The sequence below is a fragment of the Homo sapiens genome, chromosome 13, assembly GCF_000001405.40.
Source record: "Homo sapiens chromosome 13, GRCh38.p14 Primary Assembly".
In the NCBI taxonomy this organism is placed as follows: Eukaryota; Metazoa; Chordata; class Mammalia; order Primates; family Hominidae; genus Homo; species Homo sapiens.
Window position 1 is genome coordinate 62,206,736 of NC_000013.11, and position 20,261 is coordinate 62,226,996.

At 35.1% G+C, this 20,261-nt stretch overlaps 1 long non-coding RNA gene across 1 annotated transcript in view, besides 2 other annotated features; it reads left to right on the plus strand.

Annotated features, from left to right (window-relative positions):
- Positions 2,974 to 3,073: an enhancer, noted in NCBI's record as "active region_7805". NCBI's record gives its function as "activates an Ori minimal core promoter by ATAC-STARR-seq in GM12878 lymphoblastoid cells {active_cell/tissue: GM12878}" and the evidence as "EXISTENCE:reporter gene assay evidence [ECO:0000049][PMID:35858748]".
- LINC01075 (long intergenic non-protein coding RNA 1075) overlaps positions 5,547 to 20,261 on the plus strand; it is a 37,670-nt gene continuing 22,955 nt past the window's right edge. The window contains exons 1-2 of the long non-coding RNA NR_125787.1: positions 5,547 to 5,894; positions 17,363 to 17,459. This is a non-coding gene — a long non-coding RNA (long intergenic non-protein coding RNA 1075). The remainder of the gene's footprint in view (positions 5,895 to 17,362; positions 17,460 to 20,261) is intronic.
- Positions 5,561 to 5,855: a silencer, noted in NCBI's record as "tiled region #11307; HepG2 Repressive DNase matched - State 12:CtcfO". NCBI's record gives its function as "represses a minimal TATA promoter and a strong SV40 promoter by Sharpr-MPRA in HepG2 cells {active_cell/tissue: HepG2}" and the evidence as "EXISTENCE:reporter gene assay evidence [ECO:0000049][PMID:27701403]".

Here is a 20,261-nt window from a genome sequence, read left to right on the forward strand (position 1 = left end):
CTTATCAATGCTCAAATGTGGAAAGAAAGAAAGGATGTCTCTTATGCTAAACAAATTAACCCCTCTTTTACATAGATAAGACACAGGATTTCCCTGTGAATGATTCTTTTTATTGTTGTTGTTCTAAGGTAACTCTCAAATGAACAATCTTCTAGGTGTCAAAAATTTTCTAAGTAACCACTGCAATTTGAAATGGTCAAGTCAGTGTTAGGCCATTTAAAAAGATAAATACAACAATAATAATAATAACAGCAACAATAATAAAAGAACCCAGCATTCTTCCAGAGGTAGCACAAGCTTATTAGTGGACGAGCCAAAGCAATACTACCCAATGGGCTTATTTTGGGTCAGATAGCAGTCCCTTAGCCAGCAAATGTGTGGCCAGGAGATTGATCTCAAAGCAAATTTCACAGATCCAAAACTGAAGAAATTCCTATTAAATTTTGAAAAACAAAGCAAAGGAAGCAGCTGTGATAGAACTTCTGAACACATTAGGGTTTGGTACTGGCTTAGAATACAGGCTCATACAACCCATATATATATATATATATATGTATATATATATATATATATGTATATATATATATATATTCTACTCTTTATAAACCTACCCTTATATACAGACAATTGTTCAGATAATAACTAGACAAACAGAAAGACTGGGAACAAATTCATGCTTTGTCAAACTGAAACTGTCCCAGTTGTCCCATAGAATTGATGTTTGTGGTTTCTTTTGAATAAACATCGAAGTTGACCTTCCCAGTCTTAAAACTTGAAAAAGTTACATCTGTCTTACCTGAGTTCCTTTCTCGGAAAACAAACCATCAGGATAGTGTAAAGGAACTGAAACTTACCAAATCACCACATGTGGACAATGAATACCAGATCCCTCATTCACATGTCTGTATAACCAACCACCTACTTCCTATTGACCAGCTCTCTTCCTTACCCCTCCCTTATTCCTGTTTTCCCACACATGGTTATATTTCTTTCTTGCTATATAAACCTCTGATTTTAGTCAGTTGAGGAGATGGAGTTGAAACTAATTGCCCATCTCCTGGGCTACATCACCTGAATAAAGCCTCCATCCCTGGCAATACTCATTGTCTCAGTGATTGGCTTTCTGTGTGGCAAGCTAACAGGACATAGACTAAAGCCCTAGAATTTCAGTAACAAAATTGTCATTAAAAAAAATAAGCACAAATTTGACAATATAACCAAAAATTCCTTAAAGATTTTATTCTTATGACAAATAAAATAGCACTAATACCAAAGGACTCAAGAAAGTATTCAGAGTTCAGATTCAGTGCAAGAATTGCCTCACCATTTTAAGCACGGTGGTCTTGAGCAAGTAGACTCAATGAATCTCATTCTGTAACTGAGTCCTAGTCTGCGTCAGCAAGGATATCAATCAAGTCATAATGAAATTCTCACTAATAAACACCAACATGCCAGATCTACCAGGAGCGTACTTGTATTCAAACAGAATAGCTTAATGCAGCAAAGAAGAATGCACACTAGAGCAACCATGGTATATTTCAGAAAGGCTGAGTGGGGAGGTATTCTCACAGAGTTTGGACTTGTGGCGAGTGATTCCAATCAAGGATCAGAGAAGCAAAGTCCATTTTATTTTTGTACCCAAAAATAATTTTTTGCAGCTTTTTAATTGCAAAAATTGCAATTACTTTTGCTCCAACCTAATACACTTGATGTTGTTCCAAAAGAAGGGCAGTTTAGGAGTTTAGTATTTCAGTAATCTTAGTTCAAGATATAGAAGGGAAGAAGTAAGGCTGGGGATACTACCTGTAGGACATCAACACTGTTCTCAAAAATGGTTTCTTTGTTATTTTCAGCTTTAGTGTGGGTTTTGCCATGTTCTATTCGAGACATTATTTTATGTTGCCCTGCTTATTTCTCTTTGAAAAATGCTGTTAATGCTCTTTAGGAACATCTCATTCTGATTTTCAGGAGGACGGGATTTCAAACTCAGGCCAGACCACTTCTGCAGCAAAGGTGGCAATGACTGTGAATTTGAGAAATACAAACCTGACCTGATGGCTCTCTTTCCCTCTAAGCTTTAGAATGGGTTTGTTGGGGTATTAAATGCATTTTTTATTTACAATATATTTTATCTATAATGGCTTTATTGTATATAATCTCATCTTAACTCAAGGATTATCTGTATATTGAGAAGTTTGATTCTCCTAAATGACAAAGATTAAAGTTATTTATTTGCCACCTATGAGATTTGTATGAATTATGGTAATTCAAAAATGTAGAACTGACTATTCCACTTACCAAATTCCACAGGGGGTTCCTGATCTTCTTCCCAACTTGTAAAGCTTTTTCTACTACTCTTCAAGCCAAGCATTAAAACCACCATGAGGTAAAAACAGACCCAGTTTATTTTCTATAATATAGTGAATTTAAAAAATCATTAAAAGCATTTTAGCAACCACATCTCTATCCTGAGTCTGTAAAATTATTTCCTTCAGAAAACTGACATCTCATTCACGTTTCAGTGATGCTTGAATCCTTGCAGGATGTTGGAGATATTTTTTTTCCATGTCTAAAACACTTGAGTTTTAAGCTTCCTCTGACCTGTTTACAAATAACGAAAACTAGGGCCCTGCAGTCTGCTCTCTTTTTTCTTTATCAACATTTAATGGAAAGGGGGTAGGGAAAGGAGAATGCTTGCTGTTAGCTATTATCTTTACAAATGACTTGTTAGCCTTTTATTTGTCTGCTCATGCTTCAAACACTCAAAGGACATTTTCAGAATCTCAGTAGATGAAGGTTCAATCTTTAAATGACGTGACAGGCTGTATCTTCCTTAAGAGATTTTGACACGATATTAAGCCATAGTTACAAGCCAATACTTGAATGGGAAGCCCTGGGGAAATCTTTTAGAGCTGGAACACGGCGTTTACAGCAGGAGGCAGGTGTCTGCACCAGTGAAGCAAATAACGATATGATATATTTAGTATCGAAAATGGAAGCGAAACTACTGATTCTTTACACTGGGGACAACGGAAGAAGTTGAATGAGGGAAAAAAATCATCTTTTGGGGCCCTAGGAAATGTTAATTTACAGACAGTATGAAATATACTCTCATCACGACAGGTGCACTCAGAACCAGGTGCTGCTCTCAATATCGTCTTTGAATTTATGTGTTTCTTTTCAGTGATAGGATGTGAAGCAGCTGTACTGGCCATGTGGAGAGAAAGCAAAGAGCTTTTAATTAGCAATTAGGGGGCTGTTAATTTCTTTGGGGATCTCTCTCTATCTTCTCTTTGTACTTTTACTATATTCTTAGGAGTTTCTATATGTCTCCTAAAATACAAAGAAAATCAAGGAAACAACATGGTAGATTCAGAGCATGGGTTGTGTAAAGTTGAGGAGTAAATTTAGAAGCCTAAGTAAAATTTTTATGGAAATCAAATTCACATCCAAGTTATTTGCTACCTTGAATATTCTTTTACTGATAATATTGCATCATTAAATTAAGAAATAAAATGTATTCATTGACATTGGGACATTTTTTCTCATGATGTAATTTTAGCATATATTTCTTTGTTTTTCATGTAAATGATCTACACGGATCAGTTCTTAATTAGTAGTCATTAATCATTATACCTAAGTGATAGTAATATATATTATAAATATATTTATGTCACTATAGTACAGCTATGTACATATAAATACGTGTGTAATCTAATAATACCTTTATTTTATAGATACAGGGAAATAAAATTAAAACTGCCATCTGGAAATTAGGCAGATTTTTCATTTTCCTCTAACCACTAATAATATATTTATCTTCCAATTTCCATTTCTAGAATTCTATGATTGTTAAGAACTTGTAAAATATATTCTAATATAGTTAATGCTTTATATTTTTATATTTAAAGCATACAACTCCTCTTTATTTTGATGTCTTTCCCAGATCAGCTTTCTCTTTCTTGCAATACTTAGCCAATCCAAACTTATACTACAAAATAGCAATCAACAAAAACAATTTATGTCTCACTGGTAAATAAATTGTTTCAAATGAGTGTAATGGTGTGGTCATGTTTCAACAATGTTTAAAATTTTCTTTTACTTTTCTTTCAAAGCCTAGCTTGTTAATACTATAGCTACATTACGTGGAAAAGAACAAGTCATGTTAAGCTCTTTTGTATTGGGAAACCCAGCTTGAGCTGAATCTTAAAATTGTATACCTTCAAAATAGGCAGACAAGAAGTGACAAATTGCTATTAAAGAAAGAACCAGCCCAGGCAAACTTAAAAACAGGAATACGGAAGGTATATCATGGGGTAGTCAGAAGTCTGGCCTTGCTGAAAAGTATATATAAACGTTAGAAACTACTTTGAAGTGCATTTTAGCTAACACGACTTGACACTAATGAAAGATCTGGAAAACTTATCTGAGCTTGCACTTGATATGGTAAAAACTAAATAAAATTAAAATGATGAGCTATAAAATTCTTAAAGGAACCATAGAATGCCTAGTAAAATATAGCAAAGGCTTTAAAGACTTAACAAACAAGTTTTAAGTCTTGGTAAACCCCCTACAGTTTTTTATGATTTGAAAATGAAGACACTCATACCTCTCACCACATATATAATGAGCTATATCTGATAAACTAATCAGAAAACAGTATTTTCTCCCACTACTACAATCAACACAGTGTTGTAACAATATCAGTAATCTTTAACTGTCTTTGCACCTTCATGACATCACAATCAATTTATTTATTTTTTTGAGACGGAGTTTCTCTCATTTCCCAGGCTGGAGTGCAATGGCACGATCTCGGCTCACTGCCACCTCTGCCTCCTAGGTTCAAGCGATTCTCCTCCATCAGCCTCCAGAGTAGCTGGATTACAGGCATGTGCCACCACACTCAGCTAATTTTGTATTTTTAGTAGAGACGGGGTTTCTCCATGTTGATCAGGTTGGTCTCAAAACTCCCGATCTCAGGTGTTCTGCCTGCCTCGGTCTCCCAATGTGCTGGTGTGTCCGGAATTGGTGGGTTCTTGGTTTCACTGACTTCAAGAATGAAGCCACGCACCTTTGCAGTTAGGATTACAGTTCTTAAAGATGGTGTGTCCAGAATTTGTTCTTTCAGATGTTCAGATGGGTCTGGAGTTTCTTCCTTAAGGTGGGTTCCTGGTCTCACTGGCTTCAGCAGTAAAACTGCAGACCTTTGCAGTAAGTGTTATAGCTCATAAACGCAGTGCAGACCCAAACACTGAGCAGTCTTAAAATTCACTGTGATGAGCAAAATAAAAAACACTGAACACCCCCAAGGCAGACCTGAATTGGTTGCGGCTCCTGGCTCCGGTGGCCTGCTTTTATTCCCTTATCTGGCCCCACCCACATCCTGCTGATTGGTCCATTTTACAGAGAGCTGATTGGTCCATTTTGGAGAGAGCAGATTGGTCCGTTTTGACAGAGAGCTGATTGGTGCATTTACAAACATTTAGCTAGACACAGACTGCTGATTGGTGCATTTACAATCCTTTAACTAGACACAAAAGTTATGCAAGTCCCCACTCCACCCCTCCCAGAAGTCCAGCCAGCTTCACCTCCCATTGGCATTTGCCCCTGGACTTTGCACCTAGCCAGGGCAGTCCCACCGCCAGGGGCTTGGCAAGTCCGTGCCCACCAGGAACCCTCGCCGGCCCAGGAGCGCCCGTGCCTCCCTGTCCACACCTCACAGCCAGCAGAGGGAGCTGGTTCCGGCCTCGGCCGGCCCCAGAGAGGGGCCCCACAGCGCTGTGGCGGGCAGAAGAGCTATTTGAGCAGGGCCAGAGAGGACGCTGAGGCCAAGGAGGCACTGAGAGGGAGCCAGGGCTGCTAACACATTGTCACCTCTCACTGGGATTACAGTGGTAAGCCACCGTGCCCAGCCCATCTCAAGCAAATCTTAAAGGTTCTTATTAACATATAGCTATCAGAATAGATTCTTTCTTTTCTTTATTTTTCCTTTCTTTTTCCCTTCCCTTCCCCTCCCCTCCCCTCCCCTCCTCTCCTCTTCCCTTCCGTTCCCTTCCCTTCCCTTTCCTGTGTCTCGCTCTGTCCCCCAGGCTGGAATAAGTTGGTGTGATCTTAGCTCACTGCAACCTCCACTTCCCGGGTTCAAGTGATTCTCTTGCCTCAGCTTCCGGAGTACCTGGGATTACAGACATCTGCCACCACACCTCACTGATTTTTGTATTTGCAGTAGAGATGAGGTTTCACCATGTTGGCCAGGCTGGTCTCAAACTCCTGGCCCCAAGTGATCCACCTGCCTTGGCCTCCCAAGTTAGAATAGACTTATTTAAGAACAGACTACATCAAAACTTAAAACTCATGTTCACTTTGAGTTTCCTTTCATTCTCTCAGTAGAGGCCTGACCAGTGGCCTAGAGACTAGCAGTTGCAGAGGTGGATGTGGGGAGTTGCAGAAATGTGGATTCTTTCAAATTTTGTTCTCTCTCTCCCCCACAGTGGACATTTGTGGTTACTCCAGGTTTAAAGAAGACAGAAGGGGCATAAGTAAAAGTGCAATTTTCCTTTTACTTGGCTGATGTGATAGGAGATACAGTCTCTTAAACCCTTTGCTCAATTCCTGCTTCTAGGACTTCAATCATAGCTTCTTTTGGTAGAAATTTCCTCACTCTAGCTGGCTGCCAACTTAGGTAGATTTCTTTCATCACAACTTCAGTTTCCTCATCTTCCTCTGTCCGTCTTTTCCTCAATAAAATAAAATGTACCCTCGACGTTAGTAAATAGTAAAAACGCAGCTTGGCTAATGGCTCCCCTCTCATAGTGCCTTGTTATCATCGAGTCACCTACTGTCTTCAGACTTTCCCATTTGAGAAATAAATACCAGATCTTGCCTCCTCACCCAATGAATGTGTATATAGGTATCAACAGTGTTGCACATATATGGGAAGAGTGTGAGATAAAATGTCCTCTTATATGACAACCCCAATGTCTATGGGAGGCTTCCCAGGAATGCCCACCTTAGATTGGGGAAAAGAATGGGCAGAAATATCCAGTCTTTTCCTAATAAAATGCCAGATCTCTTTGCATCTATAATTTCCTTAAAGAATCTCCTCAGAAATCTAATCTACCCTTATTTGAACAGTAGATGTGTGATAGAGCTAATAGAGGAATGGCAATGGCAATCTTTTACATTTTTTGACTCACCAAATTTTGTTTAGCACCATTACTTAAAACCTGATCGCAGTAGTGTGCTTTATCCTCCGTTTTGAAGTTCTAGTAAAATTTTGAAGCAACAAGAAAAGTTCCCAAGTATATTCTCATATACATATAAAACACCTATGAATGTTTTACTCAATGAACCACCAAAGTCTTTATTCTATATGTAGAATTAAGGGTCTCAAATTGTAATGAGACAGCAACTTATGTTTTTGCTATTCATACCAATAAGGGATGTAAACAATCAAAATTCACTTTATACTCATATGTTATAATTTCTTTTGTATCATAACGTATGGTGAAGTAAAATAAAATATACAGAGACAAATCTCTGAAGTTAAACATTTTATTTAAGAAGAAAGAATTGCAACTTGGGACACACACCTGGATCGGGTTGTCTTTGGTGGGTCCAAAGAACAAAGGGAAGGTTAGAGGTTTTATGCAAAAAAAGAAACATGTATTACTCTTTGAGAAAGTTAATTGGCATAGTAAGGTTGTGGAGAGCTGGTAAGTTTTGATTAATAAAAGAAGACAATAAGTAAAACTATTACAGTTACAGCAGATCCATTAGATACAACTGGTTTTAGGTTACAGCAGACAGTTCTAGCAACCAGGCTCACCCAAAATTACATTCTTAGAGCAATGTTAGGTGCTTAGTACTTCATTGCCTCAAGCATCTTGACTGTGTTTTAGTTGAGTAGGACAAGAATGAACCAACTCATGATCAACTCTCATAAGTACAGCAGAATACAAATTTATAGTGATATTATTTTTAAAAATTTTAAAGGAAATTAATAAAACTGAAAAACTGAAATAAATGTGTTATTGGATTTTGCAAATATGTTATTCCAGATTTGGAATTTATTATCTTGCTATGTTGTCTTTTTTTAAAACAGATTTTTTTGGTTTTGTTTTGGGTTAGGAGGAATGCAAAATATTATCCCTTTCTATTATTATATTATTCTATTTATATGTTATAATATTTATGGGGATAGTTTTCTAAAAATGAGGTTAATAACACTGTTTAAATATAACAAAATTTAAATATTTTTAAATATTTTATTTAAATATAACAATAATTTGCATATATCTCATGAACTTGTTTCTTTTTGGAGCAAAAAGAAATTATAAATGTCAAATAGTTCAATTGTGTGTTTTTTACAAGGAATTTGAGGTATAGAGAGAAAATATCAATATCTAGGGTCTTATATTTAATAAACAGTAAATGAGATATCAGAAATAAAACTTACAATTCTGGTACTCCAACAGTTCTGCTAAGCCATGAGGCTCCCAGAGTAAGTGCTTCTCTAGGAAGCCTTATGGTTTCTTTTAATAAATTAAATTTTGTGACAGTATGCTGTGTCCCTGTGTGATTATTGGTAGCTATTTAAATAAAAATCATTGGCTAAATTATTAATTCAAAAACTTTTAATAAACACCTGATTTCCTAAAGTAGAACAAGAAGCTTCAACTTTTTTCTAACACAACATCCAATATTTGCCATGAAGTGTTTCCATCTTTTCAATGAATTTTTTATTCTAAGTTATCATAGAAAACATAATAGAAGCATGAACAGATCAACTGGTATTTAATTAACTAGAATTCCTAGGTGAATTGTAATGGTGTTTTGGTGTTTGTCAACATGAATGAATTTAGAAATTCAACATTAACATTTTAACAGACATATTTTATGAAATATAATAGCTAACTTTGAAAAACCTGCAGTTTGAGAACAAAACTGAGTTGATTCATTTTACAGCAGGCTCTAACTTTTATGTTTTCAAAGCAGCAGTGATTCATGAGTAATTTGGTCCTGTGGGTAAATATTAATTATATCAGATAAAACAAAATGTATCATAATTTTATAAACAGCATCCAAGTTTGCCTTTATCATACAAATATATGAAACATTTATTGCAAGAAAAATAGTAAAATATACATTAAAACAGAAAAGCTTAAAAATTTTAAACTATCACCAAGTTTGCATATACATTTATAACTATATATTACACCCACTATTTATAGAAATGTGTATTTTAGAAAGGTCTTTCATAACAATATCTTATTTGACCACTGCAATAACCAGTATATTTAGGCATGGTGGAAAGCTTTTTTTTCTAATTTTATACACGGAGTAAATCTCTATTAATAAAATAACTACTTTTTTTTGTCTTGGTAACATTTTATTCCTTTTTTTAAATTTTTTTAAATTATACTTTAAGTTCTGGGATACATGAGCAGAACATGCAGGTTTGTTACACAGGTATATATGTGCCATGGTGGTTTGCTGCACCCATCAACCCGTCATTTACATTAGGTATTTTTCCTAATGCTATCCCTCTGCTAGCCCTCCCACCCCCCGACAGGCCCCAGTGAGTGATGTTCCCCTCCATGTGTCTGTGTATTCTCATTGTTCAACTCCCACTTATGAGTGAGAACATGTGGTGTTTGGTTTTCTGCTCCTGGGTTAGTTTGCTGAGAATGATGGTTTCCAGTTTCATCCATGTCCATGCAAAAGACATGAACTCATCTTTTTATGGCTGCATAGTATTCCCTGGTGTATATGTGCCATATTTTCTTTATCCAGTCTATCATTGATGGGCATTTGGGTTGGTTCCAAGTCTTTGCTATTGTGAATAGTGCTGCAATAAATACACATGTGCATGTGTCTTTATAGTAGAATGCTTTATAATCCTTTGGGTAAATACCCAGTAATGAGATTGCTGGGTCAACTGGTATTTCTGGTTCCAGATCCTTGAGGTCCTTGAGGAATCGCCACACTGTCTTCCACAATGGTTGAACTAATTTACACTCCCACCAACAGCATAAAAGCATTCCTATTTTTCCACATCCTCTCCAGCATCTGTTGTTTCCTGACTTTTTAACGGTCACCATTCTAACTGGCGTGAGATGGTATCATTGTGGTTTTGATTTGCATTTCTCTAATGACCAGTGATGATGAGCTTTTTTCATATGTTTATTGGCCACATAAATGCCTTCTTTTGAGAAGTGTCTGTTCATATCCTTTGCCCACTTTTTGATGGGCTTGTTTGTTTTTTTCTTCTACATTTGTTTAAGTTCCTTGTAGATTCTGGATATTAGCTCTCTGTTAGATGGATAGATTGCAATTTTTTTTTTTTTTTGAGATGGAGTCTTGCTCTGTCGCCCAGGCTGGAGTGCAGTGGCACGATCTTGGCTCACCACAATCTCCGTCCCCCAGGTTCAAGAGATTCTCCTGCCTCTTAAACTACACACAATTTGCTAATATTTTAAAAGGTACTTTTCACAGTGGGAAAAGTGTTTTTAATACTAAAAAATCAAGAGCCACCTTTCAGATGAGGAAACTAAGGTTCAGATAGCATCAAATACTTATGTTCTACAATATAATGTTACTTCTAACATAAATTAAGGTTTAGCTTTAACCGTAGCTATTCTTTCTTGTCCTTCAAAATACAATTTAATAATTACTTTTTACATGAAGTCTTTTCTCAATTTTATTTCTTCTCATTCTATCTTTTCATGATGGAATACTAAATGATAATAGAAATGTTTATATTTTAAATTCTAATCATATTGCACGCATTCTGATAAGCACTTACCTTCTATTATGGCAGTTAGCCTTAGTAACGTTAAATTTGATTGCTTTCATGTCATATATTGATTAAAAGATTAAATCAATGAATTGATTGCTAATTATTTGTTATCCCAAATTTATATAAAACCTAATACATCTTTTTACATGAGTTGATGGTGGCTAACCATTCTTACAAACACAAAGAGATGGGAAAGTATATTAGAATCCCAAAGAATCCTTCTTTGAACTCATTATAGAGACCACATTGTTTGCCAGCTGGGCCAATATTTGTGAACTGTGATTCAGAAGGGAAAAGAAGGATCGAGGAGGCCCTTTCTGAATTTAATTTGCAAGATTTAATATGCCTGAAATAGCCTGTCATATGATTCTAGTCATGTGGTGAAAGATGACTTGAGACAACAAAAGAGCAAAAAGAAGCAGAATAGTCAAAAACAGAAAAAAAAAATTGCTGTCAGGAATCAGGGTTGGGACTGAGGTGTTTTGGGGTCTTAGCTACACTGTCCTTCCTGTGGTTTAGTTACGTGAGCCAATAAATTATTCTTACTGCCTTTTTACATAAGCCAACATATCTTCAATTTTGCACTGGCAAAGAGTTTGAGATACGTTATCACTCTGTCTCCCAGGCTGGAGTTCAGTGGCGTGATCATGGCTCACTGAAACCTCCCCCTCCCAGGCTCAAGCCATCCTCCCGCCTTAGTCTCCTGAGTAGCTGAAGTACAGGTGTGCACCACCATGCCTGGCTAATTTTTGTATTTTTTGTAGAGATGGGGTTTTGCCGTGTTGCCCAGGCTGCTCTCAAACTCCTGAGCCCAAGCAATCCACCCATCTCGGCCTCCCAAAGTGCTGGGATTAGAGGTGTGTGCCATCGCACCTGGCTGAGTTGTGCTTCTTTTTATTATCAAAAAGAGAAAAAAAGAGAGCTGATAAAGATGTCTCCAGTTCTTATGAGAGTACTTTTCTAACATTTTTAAATACTGTATTTGTCTTTTATAATTAAAGTCCACAAATTGTATTGTCTTGTCCCAATCAACATTTTTTAGGGTGCCATGTAACACAATTCACTGATAGTTAATAATTGCTGATGTTGCCGCCCACTATAGTTTTTTCCAAATAATAAAAACTAACATTTTAAAATAGAATTGTGTTTTTTGTAATAAAAACCAACAGCTAGTCATCTTACCCCACCACCAAGTTGATAATTAAATATTTGTGTCAATTTGCAAGGTATTTCATAATTGACTTATTTTTTTACTCACCCATGTATAAATTTTAACCATGTAAAACTATAAGAAAGATTTTCATTAGATACATATTAACTTTATAATTCATGTAGAAAATTGGTGACAGGAAGCAATATGCTTATTTTAATAGTAGAGGAATTGAAAGTCAAACAATAAATGTGAACTTCATTTACAGTTAAGGCAGAAATATCAGTAGAAAATTACAATTTGTATTTTGTTACCTGTTAATTATATATCAGTAAAAGAGATGTGGTATATTTTAGGATATTTGGGTCTTGAAGATAATGTTACAGACAATTTCCAGGACTTTCCAATAAAATTTCAGTCAATAATTTAAATACAGATACACATCTTTCTGTACAGGTAATGTGATCTGACAAAATTGCTTAAATTTCAGTTCCTGTATGTTTTTGTAAATTCTTATATTTGACATAGCAAATGGAAAATTTTTGGTAACAGATAATTGCATGTCTTTTTGGATATGCATATTCTACTTGCCATATTTTACTACTAAAGTTTAAATATTATTAGTTTACCCATCAATGAGAAAAAGAGAACAATTAATTGAAATCGCCATTTACTTATTTTTCTCTAACATTCTACAAGAATTTACTGAGTAGATTTTTTGCTGGATCTGAGGGATAAATGGTTGAAAAAGACACATTTCTCTCCTTTATGGTGTGTTAAAAAAGCTAGAAGAAAAATTACAATGTAGTGTGATAAATGTAATAAATGAGAGCAGAGAGAGAGAGACAAAGAAGTAAAGCTTAAAAGGACACTGTTAAACCTGGTGTAGGCAGCGCTAGCTTCACAGAGAAGGTGACACTTCAATTGTCTTGAAATCAAGCAAGTTTCCTTGGGAACTTTGGGGGAAAGAGAAGACAAATGGGAAGGATCCAGAGAATGTTGTTTGAAATTGCTTTAATTAGATGGATATTTTATTCGCTAGTACTAGAAGGAAGAAAGAATGAGTGTGGCATTGATGCATTTTTAGGTGAGGAGGGATGAGTGAAGATCCTTTGGTTTGCACTGTATATATCAGTTTTTTGGAAAAAAATGCAAGGAAGTGACCCAGAAGACTGCATATAACAATATGAAATAATAGTTACATAATAATGATAAGGTCAGATAGCCTAAGCCCCAAAGTAGAATGAATTAATGAATTAATTAATTTGCAAGAAGCTAAAACAAGAACAAGAAATTGCATTGGCGTGTATCAAAGAACATAACCCCTGAGCCCCTGCCTCCCAGCCTGACCCAGCACATCCAGCCTTAGGACTGTACTAGCAATAGAAGGATCAAATGTCCTCAGGGAAAAGCCAGTTTAAGTCCTGGCCATTTTATTGAAAAGATATGCAGATGTTCAGCACGACTCAAAGGGAGAAGTTAGATTGAAATACTATATTTATCACAAGAAGAGGCTTTGATGGATTGAAATAAGCAATGCCAGCAATAGTTTCAGAAGCTAATGGTTATTTGCTCAATGTCTGAAGCAATCAAATGCTACCTTTGGAATTGCAATCTAAAAGGAAAGTAACTTCAACATGCTTAACTAATGGTGTCACTAATGACTAGTCAGAAATTTACTCTCATACTAAAGATCTTCAGGGTTTCTTGATAGTTTTTCCTAAAAATGTCAAATACTGTTTTTAATCTCTAGAGATCTATCCACCTGCTAAGAAATAAAAACGGAAAAGCTTCTTCCAATAAATCTCAAATATAATGAAAATCATAGTAGTGTAGGAGAAATTATTTACTTTTTATTTGGACTTGTAGAAAGTAGTTTTCTGTTGTTTGGTTTATTTTTGCCTGAAAGAGGTTCAAATACAACCCCTAGAGCCACATTTTAAAAGACTGCCATCAAAGGGAATCTGCAGGACAGTTCATATTTCTTTTAAATTCTTTTAAATTGAACCCATATTCAAACACTTTATTGCTCCATAAATATCCAATGCTCTTTCTCTATTCTTGAACACCCAATCTGGGTATCTAAAAATATGCCTCATTCTGGTCTGTCAAATATGTGTAGCTGGCCGGGTGCGGTGGCTCACGCCTGTAATCCCAGCACTTTGGGAGGCCGAGGCAGGCAGATCACCAGAGGTTGGGAGCTTGAGAACAGCCTGGCCAACATGGTGAAACCCCATGTCTACCAAAAAATACAAGCTTAGCCGGACATGGTGGCGTGCACCTGTAATCCCAGATACTCAGGAGGCCCAGGTCGGAGAATCGCTTGAACCCGGGAGGCAGAGGTTGCAGTGAGCCGAGATCTCGCCACTGCACTCCAGCCTGGGCGACCGTGAGACCCAGTCTCAAGAAAACCAACCTGCCAACCAAACAACCATAAACAACCATGTTATCTAATTACACCTCTTTGTATATTTGAATAAGTATGAGGAAAAATTAGTGCCAGACATTTCCAATTGATTCAGTCTTCAGTGACGCATCAATTCTAAGTCTATATAGGGTAATTAAGATTTTGCTTTTTTTTGTAGTCTGCACATATTTTTAAAGGCAATTTTAGAGCAGTTGAGCACTTCAGCACTAATAGTACTCTTTTTCTTGACAATGCTTACCTTGACATTTCTAACGAGTGAATGAATTATTTCTGCTAATATTCAAGTAATATCTCAGCATGATGAAAAAGATTCATGTTTAAGAACTTCCATGGAAATCTTTTAGATACCAGGTGGCTACAGTGATCACAGGTCTCTGCAGAAACAAAATGTTCACAGGTTAAATATGTAGGTAGGGCTCTCACCCATCCTTGATCTCTGCACTAGACTATTGATTTCATTAAGGATGCAGTATAGCCCAGAGTCTTTAAGCAAACACATTTTCCCCTTAAAAATCAAATAGAGGAATAGGCAAAGAATTCTCTTTCATCTATAAATTATGAAGCCAAGTTCAAGAAATTCAAACTACTTGAAAAGGAGTGTTTGATTTCTTATGTAATGAAATTGTAAAAAATAAAAATAAAAACTCAATGCAGACTTGCTCAAATGATGAGAACTTTAATATTTTTAATACAAACCCAGGACTCTACATGCAACTGTTATCTGGAAATGAATTGTAAGATGAACACATTATACAAGCAATCAGCAGCAAAGCTTAATCTCAGAATAAATGTTCATTGACTACACTTTCTTTTCAGGAAAAACAAAATTACCATTATGCACACATACACACATACACACACACAAACTTCTTTAAGCCAACATCTTTCTCACTGTCTTTTATCTGGCTGAGGGAAGAGATTGCTCTAAAAATGAGGAAACAAAAAAAAAATTTAAGTACGTGCTAAATTTCTTTCTTTTATTCTGTTTAATTTGAGAAATAGCAAATCTGTAGTCATTACTTACCTTTAAATGATTAAATGACAGTGCTGACAAAAATGACTACTTTAATATATTAATAGACTAGTTTAATATAAAATAGTTTTATATCCTGAAAATATCCCCTTAGAAGACAGTATAAATTTGTTACTTTAAAGCCATTCACAATCTTTTTCACTCCTTTTTTCCCTACCTTTTAGGTGGCAAAATTAATATATCTACCTTCTCACGTGTGCACATATGATGGTCATATAAAAGAAATCTAGTCAAAAAAGAAAAGGTAAAAGTGCTTTAGTAGGACATTGTTCAAAATGCTTCTACCAAAAATAATAAAGATACATTTTTATTAAGAGAAAATGCTCTTTTTCTTTCCTGGAACTCAGACCCAAATGAAGAGTTACAGCACATCTCCTGTTTGTGATTGGAAAGTCACAGATGAATGACAAAAGAGCAGAAATGAAAAATAAAAGAATATGTGCCCTTTGTGATCCATTTGAGCCTTGGGCAGCATATCTGTGAGCCTACTGCTTTAGCACCTAAACCTTACCTAAAGTTTAGATTTTAAAAATTTATAATTATTTGTGCTATTATAGAGTGTTCTCTGTTTGCTGTAAAAATGCAATTAACATTAAATGATATACTCCATAAATAGGAGGACCTTTCCTAAATTGAGCTATTACTTACTGCTTTCATTCAATTCTGCAGTAATGTTGGAAAAATCAGGATATAATTTTTTTGGCTTTTTAAAAACATTTTATAATTTGACACAAGCCTGCCACAATATTATGATCCCTTTCAGAGTTTCTTTTACGATAGGTGAGTCACTTAGACTTGTCAATTTTCTAGGAATAATTTCTCTACTATTTTTACTGGGCTTGTACCTTCTTTCAAACACTCGCAATCTTTCACAAACCACACTCAAAACACTCTACGTGGGAGACAGGGAAGGAGAAAAATTAAACAACATAACAATTTAGTCATTTATACATTATTATCATTATTATTATTGTTATTGAGGAAAAGATTTTTAGAAAAATAATTTGAGTAATAAAAGCTCTTTTTTAGAAATGTGATCTAGACTTGCAGAAAAGAATAGTTGATTTATTTAAAACATGCCAGTTGCTACATATATTTGATATACCTGCCTGTTTAGATGGACATAATCTCTTATTTATATGATATCCATGTAATGGTATGTTTTAAATTATTTTACTATCATATTAACAAGTTACTTATGAATAAAAACTCATTTACTTGCTTTGCTTTAATATGTTTATATCTCATTAAGTACATATGAAACCTGTTGGTTCTGTGGACTGAATGTAACATATATTACATAAAATTATCATTCAAATTTTGAATATTTAAAAGGTTTAGTTGATACACAAAATATGATATATATAACATATACTCATTTGGATTATTGGTGGATGGTTGATCTTTGTGATCTTTAAGTCACTTTCAAGCCTTGTTCTCATTAGTTTAAAGCAATTTTTTTTTTTCTTTTTGAGACAGAGTTTCACTCTGTTACCCAGGCTGGAGTGCAGTGGCACGATCTCGGCTAATTGAAACCTCTGCCTCCCAGGTCCAAGCGATTCTCCTGTCTCAGCTTCCAGAGTAGCTGAGACTACAGGCACACAACCACGCCCAACTACTTTTTTTGTATTATTAGTAGAGATGGGGTTTCACCATATTGGTCAGGCTGGTCTCAAACTCCTGACCTCAGATGTGATCCACCCACCTCGACCTCCCAAAGTGCTGGGATTACAGACATTAGCCACCGAGCCTGGCCTAAAAGCATTTTTTTTTTTACTCTAAAAGCATCCATGTATCTCTGTTTTATTTTTTTATTAAACAGAGTATTTTATTCCTATCTATTCCTAATATTCGATAATAATTCCATCTAGATTATCATATAAAAACATGCAGTATTTAATTTTTTAACATTTACTTTTTTGAATAAAACACCAACTTTGTTTCTTCTAGAAGTTCTGCAACAACAGAAAATGTGTGACAAAAATGCCAGAATTATTATAGTCTCCCTTTAGTTCCTGAATATCATTAAGAAAAGAAAATTAATCTGGTAAGTTTTTCCACAATGTTTGAATTTATATGAATTCAGCTTCTCTGCAGTGACTAGATAGCGATGTTAATTTGAACATGGATGCAAAGTGTGTGCAGGCTAAAGGACATTTCGGCTATAAAAAGTCCCATCTCAGTAATGCTAAGTATTTCTGGCTTCTCATTTCTTGTAATTTAAAGAAGAAGCCTGCAGACTTTCTTATTATGCCTGACACATCTGCCGTTATATCTCCATACCTCCGAAATGTCAGTAGCAATGCCTCTCAGGCCCCAGTTGCATCTGGTAGGTGATGATGTAGACCTAGTCATCCAGGATCCAATGATACAGCAACCCTTGTTCTTTCCTATTCATAAAGCAGTTTAAAATGACTAATAAGAAGTTTTAAAAAGCATATTTTAAACAAAAAGGCAATTTGTTCTTGCAAGTAAAAAAATAGATATAATAAAATGTAATATTTCCTTGTTACCACCAAAGAAAAAAGGAAAAATTAGAATTACAATCCTTCCAATACCAAATTTGTGTATTCCCGTTTTGCAATTCAACATCAGTGTTACTACATAAAGTACATGTGTAGTTTTTGCATAATCCATTCTATTGCCCCTATATTTTACAACCTTTAATATATATTCACTTAAAGTTTTTTAAATGAAAACATTTACTTACTTTTAAAAAGAAACTCCATTTGGGATGACTTGGAAGTTTGTTTTTTCCATTAAGTTAGTGAAAAGATGAATTGGTTATTTTTCTTAAGGCTTCTAAACACATAGTCACATGTCTATTCCTGCCAAGGATTTGCTAACAAAACACCATTATGTGCTAACCTGACTCTTACAAATTCAATATTGAAAGAAAAAAATCTCAAAAAATAAAACCAAAATGAAACTAATTCTCTAAATAAAATACAGTTTACTCAGTTATATTTGAAAAAATTTTTATATTATGAAATACACAGTAAAGAGGAGGTACATAGTAGTGACTAAGCTTTGATAGTGGTAGAAGTCTGTCATAAACAGCTGGTGTTTTAAACCTCAGCTCCACCACTTATAAACTCTGCAGTCTTGAAGCCTCAAGTACCTAAAGTTCCCCATTGGAAAGCAAGAATTATAACAATTGTCATGTAGAGTTAATGAAAAAATTCAAGGATAGTTTCTCTCTTGAGTAAGTACTGAATAAATATTAGCTGTTGATATTATTTTCCTTTTTTTAAATTAATCTCAGTTCAAATTTTCTTTACAACTGAAGAGACTTAACAGAGTTTAGCGTTGTTTACAAGCTAGATGTCTTCCAGAACTTCCCCATCAAATATTAGAAAAAAAAAAAAACAGGTCTCTGGGGAAAGCTACACCTCTTTATCTGATATTCACAAATAGGGTTGACAGATGAAATATGCCCAGTTAAATTTGAACATTTACAATTAAATTTCCCAGATAAAATACATCCAATTAAACTTCAATGTCAGAAAAACAAGAAATAATATTTTAGTATGACCCAAATATTGCAAAGAACATACTTACTATAGGTCATATAATTATTCACTGTTTATCTAAAATTTAAATGTAACAGACACTTCTGTATTTTATTTGTTAAATCAGGCAACGCTTATCCACAATGCAATTAGCATTTAAGAAAACATTATAAGGAAATATGTTGAACTTGGTTTAAGGTAATTATCACAAAATTTATTTGACCATAGAATGTTATTTGAAATTAACATCTATTAGTACATTGATGATCACAAATCTAGAAAAGCTTTTTAATTTCATATTTTAATTTTACAGGTGAGAAAACTAAAAGAACATACTTTACTGAATTTTTCCTTACAGTAGAGGTCAGATGCTAGTCACCTTATCATCTAGGCTGTATTTTCTCAGTTCTTTTCAAGACAATTTTCTGTTCTTTTAATTTTATCTTTTTTCACATAAGAACTCTGAAATAATAAATTCTCCTTATTATAATATACTGATTTGTACATAATTTAGACATCAGTAACTTTTAGCACGTATTATCTTATTCACTTGATTCATATCTACTTTTAAATGATCAACTTTTTAATAGAAATGTATTGATTATATAAACTATGAAATTAGTAAATTTTAAAATTAACTGTACTTGTTCATATTCATAAATAGATTGGCTATAGCTATACCTTATAAATTCTATACCTTATACACAGGAAACACTTAAAAAACAATGAAGTTTGTTATGGAAGCTTGGACAAAGTTGCATCAGAAATCCAACACTATAGGTTCATTTCTATCCACAACCCCTAATATGACAGTGCAAACAAACCAATGAATACACAAGAAAATATACTTTTGCTGGGCGTGGTGGCTCACGCCTGTAATCCCAGCACTTTGGGAGGCCGAGGCAGGCGGATCACGAGGTCAGGAGACTGAGACCATCCTGGCTAACATGGTGAAACCCCGTCTCTACTAAAAATACAAAAAATTAGCCGGGCGTGATGGCGGGCGCCTGTGGTCCCAGTTACTCAGGAGGCTGAGGCAGGAGAATGGCGGGAACCCGGGAGGCGGAGCTTGCAGCGAGTCCAGATTGCGCCACTGCACTCCAGCCTGGGTGACAGAGCGAGACTCCGTCTCAAAAAAAAAAAAAAAAAAAAAAGAAAATATACTTTTATCTCAATAGAATTTTTGAAATACAGGCATGTAAAGGTATGAAATGTGATTGAGAGTGGAGAACACATACTTTCAGGAAAGCTTGCTTTCTTGTTTTTCTATTTTAGTAAAAGCTAAATATTTAACATGTAACAAGTGTTATACAATATTTTGATGAGACTGTTTTCAG